This window comes from Homo sapiens, chromosome X, assembly GCF_000001405.40.
Source record: "Homo sapiens chromosome X, GRCh38.p14 Primary Assembly".
Classification (NCBI taxonomy): domain Eukaryota; kingdom Metazoa; phylum Chordata; class Mammalia; order Primates; family Hominidae; genus Homo; species Homo sapiens.
Genome location: NC_000023.11, coordinates 110,669,031 through 110,686,976, shown reverse-complemented (window position 1 = coordinate 110,686,976; position 17,946 = coordinate 110,669,031). Strand labels below are relative to the sequence as shown.

Sequence of the window (17,946 nt, the reverse complement as noted above, 5' to 3'; positions counted from 1 at the left end):
AACTGGGGCATTGAAATTTATGAGAAAATGTATTTATTACGAATACAGAGAGAACACATTCTTTTTATTTTTTTTTTTATTTTTTGTTTTTTTGAGACAGAGTCTAGCTCTGTCGCCCAGGCTGGAGTGCAGTGGCATGATCTCGGCTCACTGCAACCTTGCAACCTCCACCTCCCGGTTCAAGTTATTCTCCCGCCTCAGCCTCCCGAGTAGCTGGGACTATAGGCACGCACCACCACACCCAGCTATTCAAACTCCTGAGCTCAAGTGACCCACTCGCCTCAGCCTCCCAAAGTGCTGGGATTACAAGCGTGAGCCACTGTATCCGGCCAATGGAGAGAGCACATTCTAAGGATGATATGGACATCCGGGCCACCCAGCAACAATGACCTATTATGACTTCCAAGTCTGTGGTCTCACTGGATCCTCAAACCTTTTAGTATCACATAGTGGTAGTTTCATGAACACAATTTTCTCTTCTGTCAGGGGTCTAACACTTAATAGTTTAAAAAGTAATGCAACAAGATAATTTCAGACAAAAACTAATATTTACACAAATTACCCATGATAACATAAACCCTCTCATTGTATAATATTCCAATTTGAATCTCAGGCCTTCAGACCAAGTCTTATTTCATTGTGTGCTTAAAATTTTATTGATGCAGATGATTCAATTAAAAAATTAAATAATCAAAAAGCTGTGAGAACAAGACAAACAACAGTCATTGCTTTTAAAACAATTGTCCTCTCAGGTTGGTAATGTTTATTAAAACATTTGGTGGCCGGGTGCAGTGACTCACACCTGTAATACCAGCATTTTGGGTGGCCAAGGCAGGAAGATCTCTTGAGCCCAGGAGTTTGAGACCAGCCTGGGCAATGTGATGAGACCTCCATCTCTACAAAAATAAAAGAAAATTAGCCAGGTATGGTGGCACGTACCTCCTGTAGTCCCAGCTACTTGGGAGGCTGAGGGCTGAAGTGAGAGGATCATTGCCTGGGAGCAATGGCTGCAGCGAGCCACGATCACACCAGTACTTTCCAGCCTGGAACAGAGCGAGACCCTATCTCAAAAAAAAAAAAAAAAAAAAAATTGGCTAAAAAATTCCACTTCTAGGAATCCTAAGAAAGTAACCACAGACATGCACAAAGATATACAAATAAGAATTTTTGCTGCAATGCTGTTTACAATACTGAAAAATTGGAAATAATCTGAAAGTTCACGAATATGGGAATGATTAAACAAATTATGGTGTATCTGTACCGTGGAATATTAATATAGCCATTAAAACTCATTATAGACCAAGATTGAATGGCAGAGAAAGATGTTTGCAATGTATTTGTTAAGTAAAAATAGCAAGCTAAAGAACAATATGTATATTATGATCCAACTTTTTGTGTTAAAAAAGAAAGCGTTGACCAGGTGCGGTGGCCCATGCTTGTAATCCCAGCACTTTGGGAGTCCGAGGCGGACAGATTGCTTGAGCCCAGGAGTTCAAGACCAGCCTGGACAACATGGCAAAACCATGTCTCTACCAAAAATACAAAAATTAGCCAGGTGTGGTGGCATGTGCCCATAGTCCCAACTACTCCTACTTGGGAGGCTGAGGTGGGAGGATGGGTTGAGCCCGGGAGGTGGAGGTTGCAGTGAGCCAAGATCGCGCCATTGCACTCTGGCCTGGGCAACAGCCAGACCCTGTCTCAAAAAAAGAAAGAAAGAAAGTGTTTATATATGCTAAGACAAAAAAAAGAAACAAAAAGACTGGAGGAGCATACGGCAAAATGTTAACAGTGACCATTTTCTTGTGACTGAATTATGGGTAACTCTTATTTTCTTATTTATTTATTTGTATTTTCCAAATTTTCTATAGTAAATATGTGTTACTTTTGTATTTAGAAAACATAATAAAATTTATCATGTAAAAAACTGCCCTCCAGTATCCCAGTTGGCAGTATATTGAAGTCTGAATGATTAAACCGATTTTTCTGGAAGAGCTGCTTTTCCCACTTTCCCACTCTGCTCAAGTTTGTGGAGATAGACGATTGATTGAGCAACATGGAAGAAGAGAATTTCTGTCTCATTCTGTGTATCTGCCTCTCAGTGAGCCAGACATGGGTGTCTGCATGTTGAATCACTCCTTAGTCACATTGCCTGAGAGTCAATAGCCACATAGCCAAGGGCACCTGCTCCAGGTACTCTGCAACTGCAGAGCATCAGGAGGCATGCACTTGCTCATGCATTCAATCTGGAAATTTGTTTTAAGTACCTACTGTGTGCAAGACACGGTTACATGCACTGAGGACAGAGATGTGAACAAGACAAAGGCTACTTGCCAGCATGCTCTTTACATTCTAGCAGAAAAGAAAGACAGTGAACCCAAATCAATAAGGTAATTTTAGATTGTGATGAGTGCTGTGAAGAAAAACCAAACAGGATCAAGAGAGAGTGAATGGGGCAGGAAGCACTTTTAAAGGAGTAGTCAGGGAAGGCTTCTCTAAAGATATTTGAATAGAGTCCTGAATGACGTGAAGGGGTGAGAAATGGGATGATCATGACATTACTGGCCTCTTAAAAAATGACACATGACACAGAAGAAAAGGAACAAGGCAGTGAGGAGAGAAGTAGATGGAAGGAAGAAAGAATGGTAAATTCAGTTATGTTGAAAAGGGAAAAGAGATAAATAAAATTCACTGATAATCCAGCCAAAAGTTTCATTGTAACAAGTGATTGCAGCCTCCTACAATAACAAACTAGGACCAATATTAAAGATGTGAGTTTCATCTCTCTCTTCCCTTTGCTCTGGTAGAGGCTGACCTTGCTTTGCATATCAATGGCCACCTACAGGGTTGGGTAAGATGTCCACTTCCTGAAGATTCCCCAACTCACTTCTCACACTGTCGTGCCAAACTCCTATTAACCTCAGTAGGGAAGGCACCAGATTTAAGAGGCCGAAGAAAAGATCCAGAGCCAGCAAACAAGACATGGGGTTTTATTAGGGGCTGACATACAGGGGAGAGAGTCCAGTGGAGGTGGGCTGGACAGGAGAACCACCTTACATATAGAAACAGTCCAGTGGCAGCAGGTTGGGCAGGAAAACTGCAACCACTTGCAAACATCATGCAGTTTATATAGCATTTTCACTGAACACTCTCCCCTTAACGACCTGGCAACCTTCATCTAACCCAAAACTCAAGGCCTCTATCCCCTGTGCAGCCCCAGGGATGAGCCTGGGGTTCAGATGGTCCTCACAGACAAGGAAATAATCTCCCAGTTGGCCACGCCTGGATTCCCAAGCTCAGAACACACATTCAGATACGTCTGCCATACAGGGTCATTCTAAGGGTACACTTAAGTTATTGCTATCATGAGCATTTACTGTACATACAACCACAATACCATCCCAATACCTTGAATTTCCATAATTACATACTCCTTTTAGGTTATGGCATTAAAAGTCCCTATTAAGACTTAAAAGTTGTCCCAGCTGGAATAATACTTCTCCTTCATTACCACTTCTGCAAGGAATTCTGGAAGGCTCAGGATGGGAACATTCTCTTGGGCTGTGGAAATGGCCAGAAATGACATCAAGCACATTGTCTTCCCCAAAAGAAAATGAGAGTAGGTGAACTATAGTGATCAGAAAGCACCTTGAAGTGCAGAGTGTGAAAAACGGCGGATGTTGCTAAGTAGGTAGTTCTAAAGACAAACTTTGCTTTTCTTAGCATTTTCAAGTACCAGCCAGAGTTAAGTCAATAATGAGTTTTGTTGTTTGTAGATCCCTTCGGTCAAGTAAATTAAGCTCTTGTAGGGAAGGAGGTAGTGGTGCAAGATGACTCTTCAGGCTACTGGAAGAACTTTTAGCATATTACAGGTACTGCCAGTGCCATCATGGATTTCATGTCAGCTATAGCTGTAGCCAATATTAAGCTGGTGAGCAAAGTTTGAGAAATGAATTTGGCTGTCATTCTAAAGGTGATAATTGAATACACAGAAGTCTCTGTACACTCAGTGACCTCTTCCCTCTCTCCAACCCATTTAAAAAGTGCTAGCACGTGGCCCTTAATTACCTATCACCAAAAAGACTGGCCCACCAAGTAAATAAATAGCTAAAAAGAAGGACAAAAGGAGGAAAACAAAAAGCTTGATTCCACAATAATCCACAAATTGAGTAATTCAGTCTGGAATCAAGAGAAGACTATGGTTTTGTCCTTACAATGCCAAATGGTGGTGGGGGTGGGAAAGCTAATCAGGTTACCAAGAGACATACAATAGCAATTTGATTACAACTTCTAGTCCAAATGTGTCTGATTGGCTAACAGTGAGTCTCCCTAATTAGAGTCACAGATCCAAAGCACTCAACACTCAGTGGTTTCATCCTCAACAATTCAGATATTCTTACAGATGGCTTCTGTTGTTCTGATTTGAGTGTATGCTTTAAGTACGCAGTTCAAGAGAGTACTGATTACAAGGCCAGCAAGCAAACTTAACTCACTGATAACCAACAAGAAGAAACTTTTTAAAACAGGGGACTGAGGAAAGAGGAGGGAGGGTGGAGTGAAATGTAGAGCTTGTGCCTTTATGCCTGCGAGCTGAAATTCAACAGTTTAGTTTACACATTAAATGATCCATCGCTGAGGGACTTGACCAATTTTTTGTGTCTCCCAACCATTCATTTGGCATAGCATACATATGGCTAATCTGACATCTAGATTTTGGCACTGGTGCTGATCCGGTATTATTGTTCCCCTTACAAACAAATCAAAGAGCATTCAGAAATGTCAAGCCAATTTGGATGGATCCTTTGGGCAAGTATATGCACATAAATGAGTGTCATGAATGTTTTCTAAGTATACCAAAATGATGTCAGGGGATGTTAACCAAGGCCCTTTTTCAGCCCATTCCCTGGGCCTCTCCTGGCAACACTGAGCTGGACAGAGCATGATCCTGACCCTGTATGGAAATTCCTATGTTCTCTTAAGTGCCTAGGAGATTTGTACCTGGCTACATTTTTCCTCATGAAAGTCCACTTCTCAGTGACAGTAGTAGGGGTCTAGTGTTCCGAAGAACTATGGATTCTGTCAACACATGGACTTCAATCAAAGTTACGTGCTCCTTTGTGATTTGTGGCTTAATCTGTGGCTTGTTGCAGTGGCAGCCTAAGCTGGGCTAATGAAGTATGGGTGGAATTTCTGTCTCTCGAAGAATGTTCTTGTTAATTGTCCACTTTTGATAAGTGTGAGATGTTATGAACAATGAGATACATAAATGCAGAAGTTCACTTCTAGCTTTAGAAAACCATGACAAAATTCTACTTGCTTCCTGATTCCAGAAGAACTTCCAGGCCAAAGCTTTGACAATAAAGGCTACTTCTGCGGGGAAGAAACGATGCCTGTGTATGAGTCTGTATTCATGGAGGATGGGGAGACAACCAGAAAAATAGCACTGGAGACTGAGAGACCACCTCAGGTAGAGGTCCACGTTTGGACTATTCGAAAGGGTGAGCAAGACAACATTAATTTCTCATCTTTGTAAGGGGGCACAGAAAAGGATGAGAGGACTCACTTTAATTTTGCTTCAACCTGTTCCCTCATTTGGATTAAAAGTTCTTTTTGATTGCTTAGAAACTGACATATCTAACACTATTGTCATTATGGCCTTTCAAATTTAACGATGGCCTGTGCTAAAGATCAAGTACTGACCCTTGGGTTTCCAAAGCTGCCTATTTCACACCACCAAAAGCTGGAGAAGCGGTTCTCAACCCTGGCTGCCCATCAGAATCATCAGGGAGAGTTTTGGTTTCCTTTAAATACCAAATATCTGGGCCCTACCCCCAGAGATTCTGATTAGTTGGTCTGGAGTGGGGCATGGGCATCAGTGTTTGTTCATAATGCTTCTCAGGTGATTGTAATATGTAGCCAGGATTACAAACTGTCAAACTGTAGTCTGTCATTCTTTCCAGAATAAAGCTCAACAACCATGAAAACCCATTCATTCAGGGCAAAGCTAAGTCCCTAATATCACGATGTGTCTTCTGGGGTAAAACAAATTTAAAACATCATCCCTGCCCTCAAGAAGGTTATAGTCTTACTGGAGAAACCCCAGTCACAATGTTCAATTCCTTTTCTGATTACTCACAGTGACTACCACAGCAAGCCACATTCTGTTCATTGTGATCCTACAGCTCTTCTAACTTTTTGTAGGCTCAAGACTAGTGCTTATTTAGTGTGGTCAAGGTTCCTCACAATCCAAGTGGATAAGTGAGATTTCAGCTGGAAAATATACACATCTTTTTGCTATTGGCTCTCACATAAGGCTCAAGAGTACTCGAACTTCTGTATGCATCACCATTACACAGGGAGCTGGTTTTAAATGCAGATACCTGGCCCCATCCCAGAGATAGGAATTCAGTAGACCTTGGGTAGAGTCCAAACATTTGAGTGTTTAACAAATAGCCAGATGATTCTAATGCAGGTGGCACTTGGACCATGCTTTGAAAAAGACTGCTCAGTATTTATGAGGCTTTTTTTCTCTCCCTTTAGACAACAGCCTTTATCTAAAGAATGCATTTCTCCCTAAAAAAAAGATGCTTGAACATGTATATATTCACTCATGCTTATTTTTGGTCTATGCCTTGGAGTGTTGATTTGCCATCTTTAACTCCCTAGCTCATCCATAACAGGACACCTAGGACTAGGCACTGGTTTGTTGCGTTTCCCCAGCAGTGGGCCCACTATTCGTCATCCCACATCTTTCGCCTCTCAGAGGTGTGCAGATGAATTTCAACTTGCTAATGTAGCGTCTAAATATCCTCTTGTTCACAGTTCTGGGTTATCAAGGTCTATGCTTGGTGGACACAGAAAAAGAGGCTTAATCTACTTCGCCCATTTAAGTGGGCTGGTAATATGTTGCTCCTTCAGTATAAGGCAGTTGTCAGTTGTCTACCTGTTATTGTGATAAAAGCTATTCAGGCAAGGTTGAGACTGTGGAGAGCACTCTATTTTAACTCTCCCCATTTATGAATAAGGAAGGCTAAAGGATCTGTGAATATTTCCCAAAGGAAAATATGCTTTTCAGTGAGTTCAAGAACAAGGGTGGCTTCTCCATTTACAAAACCAACCTGCCTGCAATCCCACTGCAGGCTCTCAGTGCTTAGCCAGGAGGGCAGCCCAGCGGTTTGGCATGGACACAGTCTATCCAGGTTGGGGGCAAGTGCAGAATTTCTAATACTGCCTATGGCTGCAGAAGCTCCAGTAAGCACTTATGCTAGATTCCATGTGGCTTTCCCTAGGAGAGAGTCCCATGGTCAGCAGCACTATCTCCCTTATCTCCATCCACTGGAGAAGCCGAGGGGAAGCCAGTAAGCCAAGGAAACAAATGGAGTCAATTATAACCCTTGAGCCATCCAAGTTCCTGGTTAAGCACATTACACAGCCCAACTCGATACTCTTAAGCCCTAGTAATGAAATGATATGCTGAGCCTGAGCAGAAAAAAAGGAGTTGATGGTTCCAGATTGAGTGCCTGACCATTTGCTCCACTTTTTGCTTGGCCCTAGGCATTCTCCAGCACTTCCATATTGAGAAGATCTCCAAGAGGATGTTTGAGGAGCTTCCTCACTTCAAGCTGGTGACCAGAACAACCCTGAGTAAGTAGTACTTCTCTTGACTGCTCCCTGAAAAACACATTCAGTTTTCAATTTAGCATAGCCACAGCTAAAGTCCCTCCGCAATCTCAGTGAACATTAGCACTGCTCAGTATCAACACTAAAGGATGTTCCATCTCTCTTCTGGGTGACTTAGCAGTGAATGGGGTGTCTGAATGTAATCTGAAGAGCTTGGACATGGTGAATACAAACCCAGATGTAGTCTGAGCATAGGATACCTCAGGTCAAGGCTTCCTGAATGTCTTTAATGAAACTGCTAAGCACAGAGTCTCAAGAGGGTTGGAGAAAGCTCATAAGATTCCAGGTCTGGTATATTTATGGAGACTTCACATCTGGAAGGGTGTATCCTCTGGTGGTGGGTATGAGAGGCAAAGAGAAATTAAAGGCATATCAATTCCTGTGTTATATGAAAGCACTTTTACTCCTGGGGAACTGCCCCTGGGTGGTCATGTTTCCTTAAAAGCATTCAGGCACTCAAAAACACTTGCAGCTCTCCCACTTTCCACACTAGATGGAGCCTAGGGACTAAGATACTTCTAGGCATTGGGGCGGGTGTTGAGCACTTCTAATGGGATAAAAGGCACACAGTTTCTATCCACAGGGAATTATAATGGATGAGACAGAACATGAAAATGACTTCAGTATGAATTAGTATAGTTCTGAGGAGTTAAATATCAAAGTGCTCAGGGGAATCTGCAAAGAACAATGAGATGAGAGCCAGGTGGGCTTAGTCGGGGAAGGCTTCGGGGAGGAGGTGTGTTTTGAAAGAGAAGGGTATGACTGGGCAATGGGTCAGGAAATCAGTCCAGGAAAAGAGTGCAGCCTAAGAGAAGACTCAGACAGGAGCAAACAGGAAATGTGGGTAGGGGAGAGGAATGATCACAAAGGCCACAGAAGGTGCACTAAAAGATTAGAAGATTTGGAGGTAGAAAGTAGTCATAGGGCCTGAAAAAAAGCCAGTAAAATGTTCAAATGTAAGGCAAGTAGCATCTGTAGTTGCTGCAAATAGCATAGAGATATCAACATGGTGCTTTGGAAAGATGTCTTTCGGCTATCAGATGCATATATTACATTAAGCACACACTTTGACGAAGCCAGATTATGAAGTGCCCAATTTATCATGCTAGGACATTGGACTTGATCTCCAGGCCAGAGAATGCCAGTGGAGGTTTTTAAGCAAGTGAATGGTGCATTCAGATCTGCTTTATTTATTTTTTTATTTTTTTAGAAAGAGGTCCTCGCTGTGTGGAGTGAAAGGTGGACCCTTATTAAGAGAAGTGGGATAGTCTGAATTAGGAACTAATTATACTATATTAAATCAATGAGACGGGAGGAGACGTCACTGTGAGAAACATTTCTGAGGTTAAATCAACAAGATCAGCATCAAAGAGAGAAACGAGTTTGGAATGGGTCCGATATTAATAACTCGACTGGGTGAATAGTAATACCATTCACCAACAGGGAAACTGTGAAGAATAAGCAGGTATTGGTGAAAAAGAGTTTCACTTGGAACATGTTTAAATTAATATGCTTAAGAGCCATCTGAGCAGAGTTAGGGTCCAATAGGCAGCTAGAAAAAGAGCCAAGGCAGTCAGTTGCTTGTCTTTGGCAGGACTCATAGAAAATAACAGGACAGTATGAGAATTCAAATGGAAAAGTTGGGAGTCCTTACATGTGAGTAAGAAAGGAGGCAGAGTGTAAGATCCTAGGATCAATTATGGGACTTCTGAAGTTACATGTTTTAGTTCATACTGTGAACAAGGCTTTGTTCTAGGTTCCAGGGGACTTAAAAGATGATTTAGATATACTCTGTGCCCATGGCAGGATTTGGGGTATATAATGGAGTAGAAGGTATGTGCCTCAAACTGTGTGTAGCTGAAAGAAGTTGGTATGATCCTACAGGGTCACCTAGGAGCAAAGAAGAACAAACCCAACTCTTTTATATAATGTGCCTAGCAGAGCCCAGCACATTATAGGGCTTCAGTAATAGCTGGTTCCTTGCCCAAATCCTCTTCTTGTTTTTTTGTTTTTCCTTCTATCTTCCCATTGAGTCATAGAGAATGGGGAAAAGGGAGAAATCCAAGGGAGAAAGGAGCAGAGAAATCAGGCCCATAGGGAAGGTGGGTCATTATTCTCTTGTGGCTAAGGAAAAGAAAAAGAGGTTCAAGACAGGTTTGGGCTTAAGAGGAGTTGGCTTAACTTGGACTAGGAGTTCTCCAGGTTGCAGTACCATGAGCACAGGAATAAAAAGAAGACAAAACACAGTATCCAGGGTGGGCAGAGACAACAGGGGATGGAAGGGCTACAGCCAAGTTTACTCTGCGTGGAAAGGGATTCCATGGGGTATATGAGAATGGATGAGGAACCATGGGAAGGGATTTAGGGTGCTAAGGGGGTATAAGGACAGCATGTGGACGTAGGAGAAAGCAACGTCGAGAAGTTTTTAACAAAAGATAGCAGGAATAGAGGAAAGAGTGATATATAATCAAATAGTAATCAAGTAACCCAAACCAATATTTGGGGACCCTAAGGGTAAGCAAAGCCCCAGTAATACAGTAGGTGCCGTTTTCCAAAGTGCCTTTTTGACCTGGTGCCAAGTAAGCTGCCTAAATAGCTAACAAGCAGATATTGAAGCATTTTGTAAATGCTAAATATACTGTAAAAATTCCAAGAATAACACTTAGGTTTTGCTCTTGAGGAGGGGCAGTTCTATATTATTCTTGGGATTCTTACAAATGCTATGTGTTGAAATGAAAACTTCATTTCCCATTTTCCATATCTGCTACTAGAAAAGTGTTTTGGGGCCATTTTTTGAAACCAAGTGATATTTGTATTCCAAATTCCCTGGTAGGTCCATGAGTAAGTGGGTAAGCATGGGGTATATTGGTTCTATTCCTAATTTGCTCTGCTTTCCTCTTACACACTCCCGGCCACTTTGCGTTTGTTTGCCTTTTAGGCCAGTGGAAGATCTTCACCGAAGGAGAAGCTCAGATCAGCCAGATGTGTTCAAGTCGTGTATGCAGAACAGAGCTTGAAGATTTAGTCAAGGTTTTGTACCTGGAGAGATCTGAAAAGGGCCACTGTTAGGCAAGACAGACAGTATTGGATAGGGTAAAGCAAGAAAACTCAAGCTGCAGCTGGACTGCAGGCTTATTTTGCTTAAGTCAACAGTGCCCTAAAACTCCAAACTCAAATGCAGTCAATTATTCACGCCATGCACAGCATAATTTGCTCCTTTGTGTGGAGTGGTGTGTCAGCCCTTGAACATCTCCTCCAAAGAGACTAGAAGAGTCTTAAATTATATGTGGGAGGAGGAGGGATAGAACATCACAACACTGCTCTAGTTTCTTGGAGAATCACATTTCTTTACAGGTTAAAGACAAACAAGACCCCAGGGTTTTTATCTAGAAAGTTATTCAAGTGAAAGAAAGAGAAGGGAATTGCTTAGTAGGAGTTCTGCAGTATAGAACAATTACTTGTATGAAATTATACCTTTGAATTTTAGAATGTCATGTGTTCTTTTAAAAAAATTAGCTCCCCATCCTCCCTCCTCACTCCCTCCCTCCCTCCTTCTCTCTCTCTCTCTCTCTCCCTCCCTCTCTCACAGACACACACACACACACACACACACACACACACACGCACGTCCACACTCACATTAAACGAAAGCTTTATTTGAAGCAAAGCTAGCCAAGATTCTACGTTACTTTTCCCTTGACTGGATCCCAAGTAGCTTGGAAGTTTTTGTGCCCAGGAGAGTAAATAACTGTGAACAAGAGGCTCTGCCCTTAGGTCTTTGTGGCTGTTTAAGTCACCAACAATAGAGTCAGGGTAAAGAATAAAAACACTTTCATAGCCTCATTCATTCACTTAGAAGTGGTAATAATTTTTCCCTAATGATACCACTTTTCTTTTCCCCCTGTACCTATGGGACTTCCAGAAAGAAGTTAAATTGAGTAAAATCATCAGAAACTGAATCCATGTAAGAAAAAATAATTGTTGAAGAAAGAAGTTGATAGAATTCAAAAAGGCCATCTTTTTGCTTTCACATCAATAAAATTTACCAAGTAATAGATCAGTACTCACTAATATTTTTGAGACCATAGTTGTCTGGTCAGAAAAATTATATTAAATTAGTAAATTCTAGAAGCTCTTTAAAAGGGAAGTTTTCCTTCTTCTCCAATTATAGGAGTTGATTTTTACTTTGCAAAGTGGCTCGGTCCTCATGAGCATCTGCATGTTGACTCTTCAGTTAAGAAAATTGTTGTTCATTTAGGGAGGTGGATATTCTGATGAAGATCTTTATCCTAAACCTTCCTACTATCCTTGTCTTATTCATCAAGCAGATATTTTAGTCAAGAATTCCAGAGAAGGCTGCTCCTAAAATGTCTACTTGCAGCCCAATACCAGAGCATAAACTATCCATTCTGGGGTCTGGCTTTAGAAATCATCTTTGTGGGAAGACCTAATTCTTCACAGCAAGGATCTCAGGCATGCCTTCTAGATTTGTTCCCTCTGAGGGGCAGGAATGAACTGTAGAAATGTTTTAAGGACCCAGAAACCCCATATGTCTCATTCCATGACTATAGGTGAGAGAATTCTTTCCTAAGAGGGTTTGATACCAATAGGGGAAAATGTAAAATGTTCAGTCTTTATGACAACCTGGCATAAAGGAGTCAATTCTTATGAAAGAGACACAAGGGCCTTATGGCCAGGGTTTCTTGGGACAAGACTCTCACCAGCACATCACACACGTTCTCCTTGGAAGAGAGAAGCAGTACATCCCGGTTGAGAGGTCACAAAGCATTAGTTTGTGTGTGTGTGTGTGTGTGTGTGTGTGTGTGTGTGTGTGTGTGTGTGGTAAAGGGGGGAAGGTGTTATGCGGCTGCTCCCTCCGTCCCAGAGGTGGCAGTGATTCCATAATGTGGAGACTAGTAACTAGATCCTAAGGCAAAGAGGTGTTTCTCCTTCTGGATGATTCATCCCAAAGCCTTCCCACCCAGGTGTTCTCTGAAAGCTTAGCCTTAAGAGAACACGCAGAGAGTTTCCCTAGATATACTCCTGCCTCCAGGTGCTGGGACACACCTTTGCAAAATGCTGTGGGAAGCAGGAGCTGGGGAGCTGTGTTAAGTCAAAGTAGAAACCCTCCAGTGTTTGGTGTTGTGTAGAGAATAGGACATAGGGTAAAGAGGCCAAGCTGCCTGTAGTTAGTAGAGAAGAATGGATGTGGTTCTTCTTGTGTATTTATTTGTATCATAAACACTTGGAACAACAAAGACCATAAGCATCATTTAGCAGTTGTAGCCATTTTCTAGTTAACTCATGTAAACAAGTAAGAGTAACATAACAGTATTACCCTTTCACTGTTCTCACAGGACATGTACCTAATTATGGTACTTATTTATGTAGTCACTGTATTTCTGGATTTTTAAATTAATAAAAAAGTTAATTTTGAAAAATCATCTGTAGTCTTGTTGCATAAGTAATTGACTCTCTGGTCAGTGCTGACCTTGGACAGGGTAACAAGTCATGGATGGGTGCGGTGGTTTCACAATAACCTTGACATTCTTATACTATAGCATGGTGGTTAAGAGTGTGAACTTTGCAGTCAGACTATTTAGATTTTTAAGCCCAGCTCTGTACTTACCAGCCGTATTTGTCAGTCTTTCCAACTATAAAATGGAATAACAGTGATATTATTTCCCTTTGCCTGCAATCTTGCAGTGAGTTTTAATTTAGTCATTGCATATAAAGTGATTAGAATAGTGTCTGGCGCATAGTAAGTATTCATTTATGACCATGGACATTCATGGATGTCGTGGCACTGAAAATGGCTATTGTTTTCTGACCTCCCTTTAGGTCAAGATACTTAAGAGATTGGGTACAGAAGGCCATTGGGTACAGAAGGTTTCAATGTGGCCTCAATTTTGGTCTGCTGCTCACATTATTTTTTTACAGGCATTTGTATAGGGATCAGAGTAAGAGTTTTGTCACATATGTTGATCCAAACCAAATTCCCTCAAGCACCCAATACTAGCTAAATTTGTGCTATCACAGAAGCCAAAATATGAGAGTGCTTCAAGAGAGTAGTCAAACGTGTCATGTCCTGCTGAGATGTCAAATAATATAGAGACAGAAAAGTATACATTGGTGTTAGCAACACAGAAGAAAAGTGTTGGTGTAGTGATTGGAACAGAAACCACATGGGAGTGGACTGTAAGAAGTGTGTGGGGAGATGAGGAATTGGAGACAGCAGCTAAAGACAACTGTTTAGAAAAGTTCTACTGCAGAGTCTGGAGAGATATGGTGAAGGAAGGAGCTGGAGAAGGATATGAGGTCAAAGGAAAGCCATTTTGTCTTAAAGGTGGGAGCTCTTTGGCCATATCTGAATATTGGGTGGGGGGCAGGGTCCTATAGAAAGGATTGAAAATATTGAGGAAAAAGAGATTATCCTGTCATGTGAGATGCATAAGAAGCCATGCCTCCATGCTGCACCCCTGGAACTCACAACAATTCTTGACCCACACCCTGGATGGAATTTTGGCCTCTGGTTGCCAACACTCATGCTGAGCTACGCGTAGTCCCTCTTTACACCCAGCACACTTTCTTCTGGAACTTTGGGCTATAGATCCCAGTATTGCTCCACCTCCATTGAGGAAACTGCAAATAACTCAAACCAGAGAGCTTGGCCCTCTTTCTCTGCTTAGCCACATCAGAATTTCACCCAGTCCTGTCAATTTGGTCTCCTAGATGTAGAAAATGTTTACAGGTTTTTCTTCCCTATAGTCTCCACTTATCTGCCCCCACTGTGATTCCCAGGAAGCACTGACAAGTCCTGTCTGTTACCACATGTTACCACCCTTTCATTCCTTTCTTGCTTTGACCCTTGAAGAAGATCAGAATATGACACCCCAAAATGTGACACTTTGGCAGAAGGATTATTTTGACCTGCAGGAAATTGAGAACCAACAGATGTAGAAACAGTTCTCTGCCTTCCCCTTATCTGCCTAAAAGCAGGGGGATGAATTTCCCTTTGAGAAAGGTGCTCCCCTAATATGGTTTGGGTTTGTGTCCCCACCCAAATCTCATGTCGAATTGTAATCCCCAATGTTGGAGGAGGGGCCTGGTGGGAAATGATTGGATCTTGGGGACAGATTTCCTCCTTGCTGTTCTTGTGATAGTGAATGACTTCTCATGATATCTGGTTGTTTAAAAGTGTGTAGCCCCCCCCCCCTCCTCTGTCTGTTCCTCCTGCTGTGGTCATGGAAGAGATGCCTGCTTCTCTTTTGCCTTCTACCATGATTGTAAGTTTCCTGAGACCTCCCCAGAAGCCATCATGCTTTCTGTACAGCCTGTGGAACCATATGCCAATTAAACCTCTTTTTTTGAATATAAATTACCTAGTTTCATGTATATCTTTATGGCAGTGCAAGAATGGACTAATACACCCCCATTCATACCAGGGAGAGAAGAGTGACTCTAATCATTGAAGATTGGAAGTCAACAACAAGAAGAGTTTGCAGAAACAGACTGCTATGGTTTGGATATGGTTTGGCCTCACCAAGTCTCATGTTGAAATTTGATCCCCAGTGTTGGAAGTGGGACCTAATGGGAGGTGTTTGGGTGATGGAACAGATGACTCATAAATGGCTTGGTGCTGTCCTTGTGGTAATGAGTGAGTTCTCACTCTTGGTTCCTTCGAGAACTGGTAGTTAAAAAGCCTGGCCTCTCCTCCTCTGTCTCTTGCTTCCTGTTTCACCATGTAATCTGCACACGCCAGCTTCCCTTCTTCCACCATGAGTGGAAGCTACTGGAAGCCCTCACCAGAAACGGTTGCTGGTGCCATGTTTTTTGTACAGCCTGCATAACCATGAACCAAATCAACCTCTTTTCTTTATAAATTACCCAACCTTAGGTATTCCTTTATAGCAACACAGACTAAGACACCAACCTTACCAAACTAGCCCTTACCCTCCATTAGTTCCCCTGTATATTTTCTAGTCACTTTCCTACATTTTATCCTCCCTTGAATCCCAAACCTTTCCTTTGTTAAAAGGATGTAAAGGCCCCAAGTGTAACCACTTGAGTTTCACTTCCTTTTTATGAATTTCTGTACATGTAAATATTAACAAAAATTGTGTGCCTTCCCTTCTATTAATCTGTGTTTTGTTAGTTTAATCCACAGGCTCCTAGTTACTGAACCTAAGAGAGTAGAGGAAAAGTTTTTCCTCCCCAACACCTACTTCCATGATGGGCTCTGCTAGAAAAAAAAAAAAAAAGTCCATTGACTGCCTGTATGGCTACACATATCACCACTGCTGCCAACTGTGCTATTCCTGGTAGGGGCTCTTTCTGCTGGTCTAGAGATGCCACCACAGTGGTGATGCTCTGGAATCCTCAGCGTTCCCAAATGGCACCAGATCCTGTGCACAAGTAGAGAGAGTACCCTCTTTCCTCCCAACCTGTGATGTTACACTTTATCACCTTACATGAAACCAGTTAACAAATAGTTCTTGAGTGTGTATTGTGTGCACCAAAGCAGGGTCTTCCTGTGTCCCAGAGTCTCACAGTTTTTTGTGCAAACAAGTCATTCAGATTCTACTTTTATCCCTTTTATCAGGGCTCGCTTGCCAGTATGCAGAGTCTGTGCTGAGTACAAGCCTCCAAGACAGACATATTACTGTTTTCCAAATTCCTCTTCTTTTGTGGGTACATGTACTGCTTCCATTCCCCTCTGAAATCCTCACATAATTTGACATCAAGGGGCCCACCCCACCAGCCTAGCAAACATGCCCAGACACCTTTGAAAGCTCCACATGGGAGAGGTAGCTTCTTGAATGCAGAGCTCCACCTACAGAACACTGTCCCCCAAATATTTCATATGCGTGTACAACTTTGTGCCTTTGTATATGCTCTTTCCACCACTACAGTGTTCTTTCTTCTTCTGTGACTGGCAAACTTCTACTCATCCTTCAAACATCACTGCCCCTGTGGAACCTTGCCTGCTCACCTCCTGGTTTGCCACCATGTTCCCTTTCTCCTTATATACTGTATCTTCCAACCATGGCAGGCAACTCCGGGATCCTGGAACTTACCACATTCTCAGGACTTCTGAGCCTTCATATACAGCTCCCTTTGCCTGGAATGTTTATTCCCTGATGTCTCTACTTAACAAACACCTACTAATTGTTAAAAGCTCATATTGCTCAGCTCTGAAAACTTGTCCACCTCCTTCAGGCAGGTTAGTTAGTTCTTCCCTACCCCATGCTTCCAGGAAATAATCACCAAAGTATTTTTCCTGTGCCAACCACTATAGTAATCAATTGACATTCATGTTTTTTCATTTAATCCTCACCATAGCCCTGTGTGGGAAGTATCATTATTGACCCTATTTTAGACTTGAGAACATTGAAGGCATTCACCTTTTACATGCCATTATATGTAAAAACATGAAATGTTTGCTCAGTCATGGTCTCCATGATTAGATTGGAAGGCTCTGAGAAGTTAGGGACCCAATGTCCAGCACGTCCAGACATTCAGTAAATATTTGCCAAGTGAAGAGTCCATCTGGTGAGATTCTTTCTCCATTTGGGAGAGCAAGCAGTTCAGGGAATACATAAATATGCAGAGGCTAGGCAGATTTTCAGGACATTTTCTCTGTACCCTACTCCAAAGAAAACTAATAAAACCTGTGTTAATAAGTACAAATGAAAAAAAGGTCTTATTTGCTTTGTAAACTGATTTGCCATAAGATGTCTTTCAAAATAAATGATAAATATTAGATTTATACATCGATTTTTCTAAATGCTTAAAGCAAAATGTCCTTGCATGTGTGGCATAGGCTTCACAGTAATACTAAGCTGTGAAGGATTTTTGCTAAGACTTCAATATTGTGGATAAGTAATATCTATATTTCTACATATGCTATCTATAATATATAATATTTATAATAGCTATAATATATATTACAGGCTGGACATGTTAGCTTATGCCTGTAAGGGAAACATAGTGGGACACCCATCTCTACCAAAAATTTAAAAAATAGCTGAGCATGGTGCACATGCCTATAGTCCCAGCTACTCAGAAGACTGAAGCAGAAGGATCACTTGAACCCAGGAGTTCAAGGCTGCAGTTATCTATGATCATGCCGATCATGCCACTGCACTCCAACCTGGGTGACAGAGCAAGCTCCTGTTTCATATATATATATATATATATATATATATATATATATATAAATATATATATAAATATATATATATATAAAACAATACTTATATATCTTTA

General features: G+C 41.7%; 1 protein-coding gene across 12 annotated transcripts in view; it reads left to right on the top strand.

Moving 5' to 3' along the window:
- CHRDL1 (chordin like 1) overlaps positions 1–13,121 on the top strand; it is a 121,962-nt gene extending 108,841 nt beyond the window's left edge. For 9 of the 12 annotated variants that reach the window (NR_159734.1, NM_001143983.3, NM_001367207.1 and 6 more), the window contains 3 exons: positions 5,328–5,495; positions 7,552–7,641; positions 10,616–13,121. Coding sequence is in view for 11 of the 12 variants with exons in the window: in NM_001143983.3 (NP_001137455.2) it covers positions 5,328–5,495; positions 7,552–7,641; positions 10,616–10,746 (389 nt within the window). In the remaining variant the exon portion in view is untranslated. The remainder of the gene's footprint in view (positions 1–5,327; positions 5,496–7,551; positions 7,642–10,615) is intronic. The other 3 variants (NM_001367208.1, NM_145234.4, NM_001367209.1) reach the window with 2 other exon arrangements.